At 36.6% G+C, this 12,895-nt stretch overlaps 1 protein-coding gene across 16 annotated transcripts in view; it reads left to right on the plus strand.

Moving 5' to 3' along the window:
• Nucleotides 1-12,895, plus strand: part of EFCAB5 (EF-hand calcium binding domain 5) — a 178,550-nt gene that overhangs the window by 64,172 nt on the left and 101,483 nt on the right. For 9 of the 16 annotated variants that reach the window (XM_024450742.1, XM_011524759.2, XM_011524765.2 and 6 more), the window contains 2 exons: nucleotides 2,232-2,286; nucleotides 5,832-5,902. In XM_024450742.1, coding sequence (XP_024306510.1) covers nucleotides 2,232-2,286; nucleotides 5,832-5,902 — 126 coding nt within the window. Of the gene's footprint in view, nucleotides 1-2,231; nucleotides 2,287-4,353; nucleotides 4,466-5,831; nucleotides 5,903-12,895 lie in introns of those variants that run through there. The other 7 variants (NR_026738.2, XM_024450743.1, XM_047435947.1 and 4 more) reach the window with 2 other exon arrangements.

A 12,895-nucleotide genomic window follows, 5' to 3' on the forward strand; every position in this document is an offset into this window, starting at 1 on the left:
GCCTGGGGAACAGAGAGGGACTACGTCTCTTAAAAACAAAACAACAACAACAACAACAAATATATATATATATATATATATATATATATATATATATATATATGTGATATATATATCACACGTGCACACACACGCGGTGGGGGAGCTCTTTGTACTTTCCGCTCAATTTTCCTGTGCACTTAAAACTTCTCTAAAAAATAAAATGTTTTTAAAAATGGACTAAGAAGAACTTGGATATTTCATTTTTAGTAATTGAAGAATGAGAAAGTATAGAGGATTCTTTGGATGGCCAAAGTGCTTGCCAAAAGTGCCTTAGCTCCATCATGCCGTGTCTGAGAGTTGCTAGAAGTGTCCCCTGGAGAGGGCAAAATGGGGTCACTGTCAGCATCCCAATCCTAATCACACAAAAAGGTTGGGAATCATTGAGAATATATGTGTAAAATAACTTTATATACCCTTAAGTATTCTAAGAGGAGACTTCAAAAAGTGTGTGGAAAAATTGAATTAAAAGATAATAAAAATATAAACTTTATATCTCAACATAAGCTCTATCAGGCTGGGCGCCATGGCTCAGGCCTGTAATCCCAGCACTTTGGGAGGCTGAGGCAGAAGGATCGCTTGTGCCCACGAGTGCAAGACCAGCCTGGCCAACATGGTGGAACCCTGTCTCAAATACTATCTTGGTGCAGAAGTAATTGTGGTTTTTGCCATTACTTTTTAAATGGCAAATAAATAAAAAGAGGCTCCATCAAGTTTAAGACACTTGTAAGTGATGATACCAGCCATTTAGTCCATCCCTAAAGAACTGAGGGTCCTGGGAATTTAACCATTTCAATGCAGTATTTTTTGCATTATTAACTGACGAAAAACAGGTGTCCTTTAATGATTTTTTTAAGATTAGAAAATAAAAAGTCAGAAGGAGTTAAATCAGTACTGTAAGGTGGATGCCTGATGATTTCTCATTGAAACTCTCACAAAATTGTTCTTGTTTTGTTAGTGGAGATGGGTGTTGCTATTTTGTCCAGGCTGGCACAAACTCATAGTTCTTCTACCTTAGCCTCCTGAGTAGCTGGGACTACAGGTGTGTGCCACTGTGCCCAGCTTGCCCTTGTTTGATGAGAAGAATGAGCAAGAGCATTGTTATGGTGGAGAAGGACTCTCTGGTGAAGCTTTCCCAGATGTTTTTTTGCTAAAGCTTTAGCTAGTGTTTCTCAGAACACTCTTATAGTAAACAGATGTTATTGTTCTTTGGTCTTCCAGAAAGTTAACAAGCAAAATGCCTTGAGCATCCCAAAAACTGTTGCCATGACCTTTGCTCTTGATCAGTCTGCTTTTGCTTTGACAGGACCAATTCCACATCTTGGTAACCAACCATTGCTTTGATTGTGCTTTGTCTTCAGGATCATACTGGTAAAGCCATGTTTCCTCTCCTGGTACAATTCTTGGAAGAAATGCTTCGGGATCTTCATCCCACTGTTTAAAATTTCCATTTGAAGCTCTGTTCTTGTCTGCGTCTGATCTGGGTGCAATGGTTTTGGCACCCATTGACTGGAAATTTTTTCAACTTTAATTTTTCAGTCAGAATTGTGTAAGCAGAGCCAACTGAGATGTCTATGTGTTGGCTATTGCTTCTGCTGTTAATTTTTAGTCCTGTTCAATAAGGGCATGAGCAAGATGATTTTTTTCTTGCAAATTGGTGTGGATAGTCTGCACCATGGGCTTTATCTTCAACATCATTTCATCCTTTCTTAAAATGAATTATCCATTTGTAAACTGCTGATTTCTTTGGAGCATTGTCCCCATAAACACTTCATAAAACACCAGTGATTTCACCATTCTTCCCGCCAAGCTTCACCATAAATTTAATGTTTTTGCTTCAATTTTAGCAGAATTCATGTTGCTCTAATAGGGGCTCTTTTCAAACTGATGTCTTATCCTTTTTAGTTCTTCAAGCTAGATCTTGTTCAGACATAACAAGTTAACGACAAGTTTATTTTGGTGCAAAAAAAATTGAAATCCATGCATTTTTTTTCATAATACACATTTTCCATGAACTTTTTGAAGACCCCCTTGTAGAAAGTATATGTGACTTATTACTATTTCTGTCCTTGGGTTGGAAAGATCACCCAATACTAAAACAGAAAGACTATAGATGGCTTTTAGTCTAAAATAACAAATATGTGGTAACTGAGGAGTGGCATATGGTTTCTTTCTTTTTTTCCTCTTTTGAGTTGCAGATTCAGAATGTTCTTCAAGAATTCTTTCAAAATCCAGATTTCAAGCTTGGTAAGTCTGCCTATTACTCTGATATTTTTATTTTTATTTCTTTTTTGGGTGGGGGACACTGAATTCAGATGAAGAGTCAACATGAGACAGATGTTATTCAAAACTCTTGCAGGGGCAATTAGGCTCTTCCATGCTGTCCAGATACAGAATGTATACAAGCAGAAAAGCAATCTGTGATTCTCAATCCTTTTAGTCTGGTGTCCATTTTATTACCAGTACTCTGCAATACTCTTTTATTATCCTATGACATTCCTAGAAAATATTTCTTACATACATAGAATTTTAAAAGAAAGATATGATGTCATAACTGTGATGTAAACGAGAAATAAAAGTAAAGGCATAAGAAAACTATATGCACTGGCTAGGCATGGTGGCTCACGCTAATATTTACCAGAGTTGAACACTGCCTCCGTAAATTCCTTAGTTTGAATTTCCTTGACTCTACCCAGTCTTATATCCTACACCTTCACTATAACCCTCCTGGGGTCATTCTCTGTTTCTCAAATGTTGTTTCTTGAGTTCCCTTTTCATGTTACATAAATTTCCCTGGATAATCTCATCCAGTTCTGTTACTATATATACTAGGATTAAGACTTCTTCAGAGGCCGGGCACAGTGGCTCACGCCTGTAATCCCAGCACTTTGGGAGCCCGAGATGGGCGGATCATTTGAGGTCAGGAGTTTGAGACCAGCCTGGCCAACATAGTGAAAGACTGTCTCTACTAAAATACAAAAATTAGCCGGGCATGGTGGCGGGCGTCCGTAATCTCAGTTACTTGGGAGGCTGAGGCAGGAGAATCACTTGAACCCAGGAGGCGGAGGTTGCAGTGAGCCGAGGTGACGCCACTGCACTCCAGCCTGGGTGACAGAGTGAGACTCCTTCTAAAAAAAAAAAAAAAGAAAGAAAGAAAATTATATGCACTGTATTTCAATATATAAATGCTTTGTTACGACTTCGCTAGAAGACGTAATAGAGTAGTCAGACATTTCTACCTACTTATAATGTACCTTTAGATATAAGAGAAGTAAAATTATATACAGTTGACCATTTTATTTGTTTTTGACATTTTGGAATAGGGCAAAATGAATATATATATATATATAGAATTCCCAGAAATGCAGACTGACACAGGTGTGTTGTATTAGAATTCAGATACAATTTATATTACTCCCTATTACATAAGTCCTGAAATGGTGAACAACTCTTGGTAAAGTTCCAGAATTAAACAAAGTATAATTCTCCCTCAAATTTTCATATAAGTTATATTCTTGGAAAATTCCACAGCAAAATTATATTCTGCATTTATATGTAAAATAGAGTTGGGTTCTAAGTTCAAAATTATTATAATCAGGTTTTTCATCTACTTGAATGTCCTGCAGAAGGGGGAAAGTCTATGTGCAAGAATTCCATGTGTTCTGCCTCTGCTCCTATTCCTCATCACTGTGGCAATAAAAATTCACCCAAAAATTTCCACCATGCTCCCTGGGAGGAAAGGAGGACAGCACCACCCCTATGGAGAGTCACAGATTTTGGTGCTTTTGTTTTCAGAAAGATTTCCCTATATGAAATTAGGTGGAAAAAAAAAAAAAACCTCACTTGTCCCATAGGAACTAGAGTTTGGGTCCTGAGATTTACATAATTAATATCCAGTAGATTTTTTTCCAATTGATTATTTGACTACTTTTGTTACATTGACAACAATACATTGTCTGAAGTCTGTTGTCACTTTTAAAAATAAAATATGCTTCCCGTCTTCCTGATCACTGATCTCCAAGCATGATTTGGGCCTTACTGATAACCTTTTGTCCTTCTACCTGTTCTCACATTTTCCAAAAACCGTAATTCTTCAGTCAGCTCATCTTTTACTCTTGTTTCAAAAAATCATTGAAATAGCTTCCTTTATTTTTGAATGAGGGTACAGAAGGAGTGAGTTAAGAGAACTCAATTTGGGATCCTGATAAAATTACAGAAATTCCAGAGCATTCCAACTGACAGTGATTGTTTCTCCTCTCACCTCCTATACTACAGTATTTATTTCTGTACTATTCATTCGGTCAATATTCATTGAGCCCTCACTTAGTTCCAGATACTGTAATGAGTAAGAGAATGCAAAGAGGACTGACAAGACATGTTTCCTACCCTTAAGTTGCTCAAACTCCAGTCAGAGACAGACAGACAGGTATACTTAATAGCAACTGTTACTGCTAGAAACGTCTGGTTTGCATAATCATCTGGAGCTTGGGGGAAGGTCTGGGATGGAAATGTCTGCATCTAATGCATAAGTTTATATGAAAATTTATATAGCCTTCCTATGGCCACAATAACAGATATCTCATAATTAGCACTTACCAAATTCAAGAGTGATTGAAAAATCTTTTCTATGCCCTTGTGCCAACCCATGACAGGCAGGAAGAGTTACTATTAGAAGTAGGAGAGGAAGCCAGTGTATAGTTCTTTCATCATGAGCTTTCATACAATTTATGTATTTTTCTCTTGTAAGGTCAATAAGGATTACATAAATTGTCATATCAAATGAAGGTTTAAAAATCTGTATTTGAACTAACGGTCACATTCATCATTACTGATCACTCTAATTTATGAAACTCTTTTTTCTTGGTTTTTGTGATATCATTCTCTTGATTTTTTTCTTCTATTTTTGGTCACCTTTTAGTGTTTTTGTTTCTTGACTCTTCTTTTGCTTGCACCTTAAATTTTGTTTTCCAGAGTTTCCTTTTAGGCTTTCTTGTCACTATACACACTATACACATTCTGTGGGTTTTCTTATTCAAGTCCATGACTGCAGCTGATGACTCCCAATCTATATACACATTACGAACTTTCCCTGAGCCCCAGGTCCTATTTGAAAAAAAGCTACTATGAGTGGTAAATGAAAAAGCAAGTTGCACATCAAAATGATCATATTTATAAGTAGAAAAAAGGTACATGTGTATATATATATACATTTGTATACATACAGAAATGCATAGAAAGGTTGCTGGAAGGATGATAAACTGTTGACAGTGGTTACATCTGGGGCAGAAAGGAGTGAGAGTGCTGATGGGAGGTAGAGAAAAAGGAAGATATTCATGTTTTGTTGCTTATATTTTTGTATTATTTGAATTTGTTAACTAAAAGAACATTTTTATGCATTATTTAATTTAAGAAACATTAAAGACAAAATAAAGTTTTTAAAAAGAAAGCTTGCAGAAGTGTTTTGTTTAAGGACCTGCTAGCATAAACCAACACAGATGTTTTTGTAGCCTTTTATACTATTGATGTGCATATTTATTTCTGCTTTATCCCAATCCAGACATTAAAAATATAGGCTCTTTTTTTTTAGTATTTGGTTTGCTTGCTCAGCCAGGAAAAGTAATAATTTTGTAGTATTTGGTATGTTACCCAACTATATGTAATTCACTTTATTGTAATTATGGTTAGACATTAGCTAATAAATAATTTTATGTTCTTTTAAAGCACTATAGTATAAATATCAAATATATATTACAACCTAACTAACTAGCAAATAATCTTCATTCCATAAATAGGATCACACTGCAAACAACTGGATATTACTGACTCAACAGAACCAAGATTGAACAAAATGGAATTTACAGAAGTAAGAGTTACATTATTTAATGTTTGAATTGAATTATTTTGTCAGTTTCAATTGTCTGTTGGTGGCTGTCACACATCATTAAATTAGTATTAAATGAAAGCACAAAACTTATTTTATACATTCTAAAATATGTACTTTAAAATATTTCAACTCCTCTGAAATTTTACAATTTCTTTCAATCAGTATCACGCATGATGTGAGAGTATAAAAATCGTCCACTGACACCTTCTGGTAAGATCAAGAAAAACCAGCATCTTATATTCAGTGAAATCTGGTTATTCAAACAATAATGAGATCTAAAACTTACAAAAACTTTCCTATGGGCCAGGTATCATACATGAACTTGGTTAACCCTCTCAGCAACCCTTTCCTCTGCTTTTACAGATGAAGACACCAAGATGCAGAAAGGTTAAATAACTTGCACACTGTTTCACAATTAGTAAAACTGGGAAAATTTGTATTCAGTCAGTTTGGTTTCAAAGTCTACATAATATTGCATATGAAAAAGTATGATTCTATTGTAATGGAATAAGTGAAATAAGCAATTTAATGGTACTAGAGTCCTAAGTCTTCCACAGCCTACTTATATATTTTTTCATGTTTCTCCATTTCCCCTTGTTTTTCTCTGATGAGTTCCAGAGTCAAGGTAACTTTCTGTTTCTCTTTTCATACACCTTTGCACGATTGAAGGTGAAGATTATGCACTATATACATTTTCAAAGCTCTGTATGAGGGATTTCTGGAATTCTTTTAAAAATTATTGTATAGATAAGAATTTGGCAAATTCTACCTCAGTTATGTTCTAACTGTGTTTTCTTAGATTCTGTGTTTGTCTATTTGTCATGCATTACTCACAAGGCCAAACTAATGGCCACAGTTGTTTATATCTCCCCTGTGATCCAGAATCCATACTATGAACCATCTCCTTACTAATTCTCACACACTGAGCTAATATTTCTCCTGCTCTAAATCAACCCAGAACCAGGTACCAGACAACCAGAGATAGCCCTTCTGCCTCAGAGTCTGCCAGAATTATTCAAACCAGCCAATCCTCAACTGTTTAACCTCTCGTGGCTTGCATTTCTGGAAACTCCAGTAAGGATTCTGGCTTAGGCTGTCCCTTTGCTCCTTTCTGTTCTGCCTCCTGACCCAAACCTGGTGCTTCCCCTGTGGCCCTGCATGGTGTGGCATGCTTTCTTCACTCGGAAGTCTTAAGTAATAAAAATTTTCTTTCAGTGGCATTAGCCTCTCCATGTCATCACTCAGTCACCTCCATAAATTAAAATTCCACAGATACAAATGAGACAAGCTACTGGAAGAAAAATACACAGAGGAACAAATGATAGTATTAAAATTGTTCATGAAAAGTCAAAGCTTTATCTCTTTAATACAGTAATAAACATAACTTACATTTCTTTGCAAGGGACTGATGTTCAGTGGTACTTGCCTATTTGTCTTATATTAGTTTCCCTAAAAGTACGCAAGTTAGAACATTTTCCTATTTTTTTCATTATAAAAGTAGGCCTGATGTGGTGGCTTATGCCAATGACTAGGGAGGCTGAGGCAAGAGGATTGCTTAAGACCAGGAGTTTGGGACCAACCTGGGCAACATAGTGAGACCCTCATGTCTAAAAACCATTATAAAATATATTAATTTTATGATATGTGAATTATGTCTCCATAAAAGATAATATAAGTTCATTATAAAAATTTAAAGGCATAAAAATGTAAAGAAGTAAACAATTTTAAATCCACAATTTACCACCAATAAAAGCCACAGTTAACACTATATTTTTTTGTGTAATAATAATAGCTAACACTTTTGACTCCTTTTTATGTGCCATATTGTGTACTGAGGTTATTACATGCACTTTCTTGTGTAATCGTCACACAACTCAGTTATTATTATGTTCATTTTGCAAATGAGACCTAAAAAGGTTGAACACTTGCCTTGAGATCACACAGCACATAAGTGACAGAGCTAGACTAGACCCAGGTCAGCCTGACTTCAAAGCTCATCATAGTCTTGACCCTTGTGCTTTATAGTGTCTATTATATTCATAGTGAGACATGTAAGTTTTTAGTTTTAATTTTGTGGTTTTTCCATATAGATTTTTGGTTATGCCTAATATCCTACTTTTTTCACTTAATATCATCTCTTGATCATTTCTCTATGTCAATAAATATTCTTTAAAACATGTTTTAAAATTTTTTTATTTTGAAATAATTATATATTTACAAGAAGTTGCAAAGATAGTACAGAGAGGTCCCATATGCCCTTCATCCAGTTTCCCCAAAGGTTATATTTTGCATGACTTTAGTATAATATCAAAACCAGGAAATTAACATTGATATAATGTGTGTGTATAGTATTATGTTATTTTAGCACATGTAGATTTCTGTTACCACCACCAAAATTAAGATACAAAACTATTTCAGTACCACAAAGGTCTACTGGGTCTACTGGTAATGACATTTTGCCAGTTCAGGGGAAATGTAGAAATCTTACCTTCCTTTAAGTCATTTTCCACTTTGCCAATTAAAACATCATTGTCTGAAATATTTCCCATACATCCATCACATCAGGCACTGTTACACTTTGCTTCCACTGTTAAACATCATTTAGAAAACTCAAGATGAGAAGAAAAGTCTGTTGTATTTACCTGTGTTTTTTGCTTTTTTCATTGTTCTTCCTTCCCGATGTTTCAAGATTCCTTCTTTTATGCACTCTATTTAGAGAATTTCTTCTATAGCCATTCTTTTACAGCAGATCTACAGATGAGACAACTTCTATTAGTTTTACATTGTCTGAGAATGTCTTTATTTTCCCTTTATTCCTGAATGATAATTTCACTGGATATAGAATTCTTGATTGAAAATTCTTCTATTTTAGCCCTTGAAAATGTTCTCTCATTTCCTTCTGATCTCCATGGTTGGTGATGAAAAATCCACTTCATTCCAATTAATTTTCCTCAGTAGGTAAAGTATTGTTTTTCTCTTGTTGGTTTGTATTTAGTGTTCTGAACTCTGAAGACATGAATGTTAGATCTTTTATTATAATCCCACATGTTGCTGAGACTCTGAGATTCTGTTATTTCTTTTTTCCTCTTTTTTTTTTGTAGCGGGGGGGGGGTCTGATATTTCCTCTGTTGTTCGGGTAAATTCTACTGTTCTGTGTTCAAGTCCATTGATTCCTTCCTCTGTCTTTTCCACACTGATGCTAAGCCCATACCTTGAGCTTTTTATTTCAGTAGTTTTTGTTGTTGTTGTTCTTTTTCAGACAGGTTCTTGCTCTGTTACCCAGGCTGGAGTGCAGTGGCATGATCGCGGCTCACTGCAGCTTCAACCTCCCAGGCCCAAGCCATCCTCCCACTTTAGCCTCTCAAGTAGCTGGGACCACAGTCATGCACCACCATATAAGGCTAAATTTTATTTTTGTAGAAACAGGGTCTCCCTATGTTGCCCAGGCTAGTCTGAAACTCCTGAGCTCAAGAGATCCTCTCATTTCAGCCTCCCGAAGTGCTGGGATTATAGGCGTGAGCCACTGTGCCCAGCCTTGTTGTTTTTTTAAGAAATGTGGTTTTGGGGAGGGGAGAAAAAGAAAAAAAAAAAAAAAGAGATGTGATCCTCCCACCTCAGCCTCCTGAGTTGTATTTTTCAAAATTTTCGTTTTTCTTCATGTCTTTTATTTCTTTGCTGAGACTTTTAAGTTTTTAATTTATTTTAAGCATGTTCATAATTGCTTGTTGAATTATTTTTATAGTGGCTGCTTTAAAATCCTTCTCAGATAATTCCAACAGCTGTGTCATCTCAGTGTTGGCATCTGCTGATTAAATTTTCTCATTCAAGTTGAGATTTTCCTAGTTCCTCATACAATATGTGATCTTCTGTTTTGTCTTGGACATTTTGGTTATAATGCTATTGATGCAGGATTTTTTGCTCCTTAGTTCAGCTAAAATCCAAGTTCTTGTCTCACAACTAGGGAAATGAGGCATGCAGACACATTGAAGGGTGAAGATGGATTTATTAGGCAAAAAGAAAACTCTCCACAAAGAAAAAGAGGGTCCATCCAACAGGTTCTCACTTCACAGACTGAATACCAGGTCACCACATGGGAGCCGAAGAGGCCTGGCTTCTCCCCTCTCATAAGGCGTGAATTATTGGTGGCTCTGCCCCATTCTCCCAATGCACATGTGGTCCCCCAATCATTTGCAGGCATGCCCAGGCAAGACCCTGTGCAAGGTTTCCTTAGCTTCTCCTGCATCTATCACTATGAGACTTGGGATCTTATTTGCATCTTCTTTTAAAAAGCTTCCTCTGATACCATGCTGGTGGAAGAAGGGGAGTGCCACCTCTCTACTGCCAGGTGGGCATAAAGATCCAATTTCCCCATTCAATCTCCATTGACATTTTGGAGGCAGGGGCAAGGTGCCTTGTTATTGCTCAGTGGAGGCGAAATTTTCTGATTTCTTTAAAGGTTAGATAACAATTTAGTTTTAGTTTAGTGTTGTGGAACCTCAGTCTGAGTTACTCCATTTTGATTTTTAGTCTGGTCTGTTGGGCCTGGTTCAGGAGCTTAGTCCAAGACAACTGCCTTCTATAATTTTTATTCAATAACCCTCACCAGATACTAACTCTGTGGGCACTTTTTTTTTTTTTTTTGAGATGGAGTCTTGCTCTGTCGCCCAGTCTGGAGTGCAGTGGTGCAATCTTGGCTCACTGCAACCTCCACCTCCCAGGTTCAAGCGATTCTCCTGCCTCAGCCTCCTGAGTAGCTGGGATTACAAGAGAGTGCCACCACTCCTGGCTAATTTTTTTTTTTTTTTTTTTTTGTATTTTTAGTAGAGACAAGGTTTCACCACGTTGGCCAGGCTGGTCTCGAACTCCTGACCTCATGATCTGCCTACCTCGGCCTCCCAAAGTTGTGGGATTACAGGTGTGAGCCACTGTGCCTGGCCTCTGTGGGCACCTTGATTTGGACTTTCCAGCCTCTAGAGCTGTAAGAAAATAAATCTCTGTTGTTTAAGTCACCCAGTCTATGGTATTTTGTTATTGCAGCCTGAGCTAAGACACAGTTTCAGTGTTAGAGTCCCAGAAATGGAACAAATATGTTAAAGAATAAATATTTGAGGTTTTAGTATATATTTGTCAAATTGTGTTCTTGGTTATACTGATTTATTCTCCTCAGCAATGCATGATGGCTCTCAAGGCACCGTCTTATCACCAACAGTAGGTATTATTGAGTATAAGAAATCTCTTGGTGAGGCCAAGTCAGGATTGCATGAGCCCAGGAGTTCAAGGCTGCAGTGAGCTATAATCAAGCCACTGCACTCCAGCCTGGATGACAGAGCAAGACCTTGTCTCAAACAAATAAAAGTAATTTGATGGCATTTTGTTTTTTAACTCTTATCTTTGAGATTTCTGGTGAGATTAAAGATTATTCTATGTAATTTAAAAATTTCTTCTTACGTAAATTATGCATTCAGATCCTTTGGCCATCTTACCTGATTTTTATTTTTTCTTATGGAATTGTAAATGTTCATTATATATTAAAGACATTATTTATGATCACAAATTGCATATGTTTGTAAACTAAAAATATAATCCTAAGCCTTCTGCTGACTGAACAGACCCCCTCTTATCCAAGGGAACCCCAGAAAAACCTTAAAAACTGAATTCCCTGCCATGACAAGAAGGGAGGTCAGGCCTGCCTCATTATATCTCCTCCCCTTTGGAGTTTAGGCACAGTAAGTGACGATTGTTAATGTTAAAATACAGATCCTAAAACTGACAAAACAGACTCTTTTTGGCAATAAGATACTAAGTTACAAACAAGACCTAAGGCCATGTCAGGTAAGGGTTAAGTCAAGCCTGTAGGCCATCAGTCTTGCCACATAGCAGCCTTATCTTAACTTAAAACATTCCTTTCTGCTGACTCCAAGTTTTAGACAGAGCCTTACTCCTTTAAACAATTGCAAATTAAATAATCTCTGAATCCACCTATAACCTGCAAACCCCTGCTTCACGATATCCCATCTTTTGGGGCCTAACCAACGTATACCTTCCGTGTATTGACTTATGTCTTTGCGTGTAAATTCTGCCTCCCTAAAATGTATAAAACCAAACTGTAATCCGACTGCCTTAGGACCACTTACTCAAGGCTTCTTGGGTTTGTGTTTTCCTCAGGCTGTGGTCACTTATATTATCTCAGAATAAACTTCTTTAAAATATTTTATAGCGTTTGGTTTTTCTGTTAACATATTTTTCAACGTTTCTCAATTGTTTTAAAATTTTGGTGGTTTCTAATTTACAAAAAAATTTTAAAATTTTATGCAAACAAATTTGTAGATTTTTTTTGGAGATCTTTTTTATTGCTCCCATGCTTAGAAGATTCTCTTCTTCCCAAATCAGTTAAATATTCACCTAGTTTTTTCTAGCTCTTTTTACTTTTTAAAATTAACTTGAAAATTGTTTTGATAAGTAATAGAAGGTGAGAATCTAACTTAATTTTTTCCCCCTAAAATGGCTAGCAAAGCATATCACTATGTTTATTAAACAAACCTTCTTTTTATAGGTAGCTAATTTTCCAAATAAAAGTTTTTCTACATTACTATTTTCTTCCTTTCCAATGGAAAATAAAAGTAGAACATTTTACAAAATTTGAATTACTGAGATTTTATCTTATTTTTTTGAGACAGAGTCTCACTCTATCACCCAGGCTGGGGTGCATTGGCACAATTTCGGCTCACTGCAGCCTCAACCTCCTGGGCTCAGGTTATTCTCCCACATCAGCCTCCCAAGTAGGGGGGATGCCACTTTGCCTGGCACATGCCACTTTGCCTGGCTAATTTTGTTTATTTTTGTGGACATTAATCTCCCTATGTTGCCCGGGCTGGTCTCAAATTCCTGGATTCAAGCGATCCTTCCACCTCTGCCTCCCAAAGTGCTGGGATTATAGGTGTGAGCCACTGCGCCCAGCTGAATGAGAGATTT

The sequence above is a fragment of the Homo sapiens genome, chromosome 17, assembly GCF_000001405.40.
Source record: "Homo sapiens chromosome 17, GRCh38.p14 Primary Assembly".
Classification (NCBI taxonomy): Eukaryota; Metazoa; Chordata; class Mammalia; order Primates; family Hominidae; genus Homo; species Homo sapiens.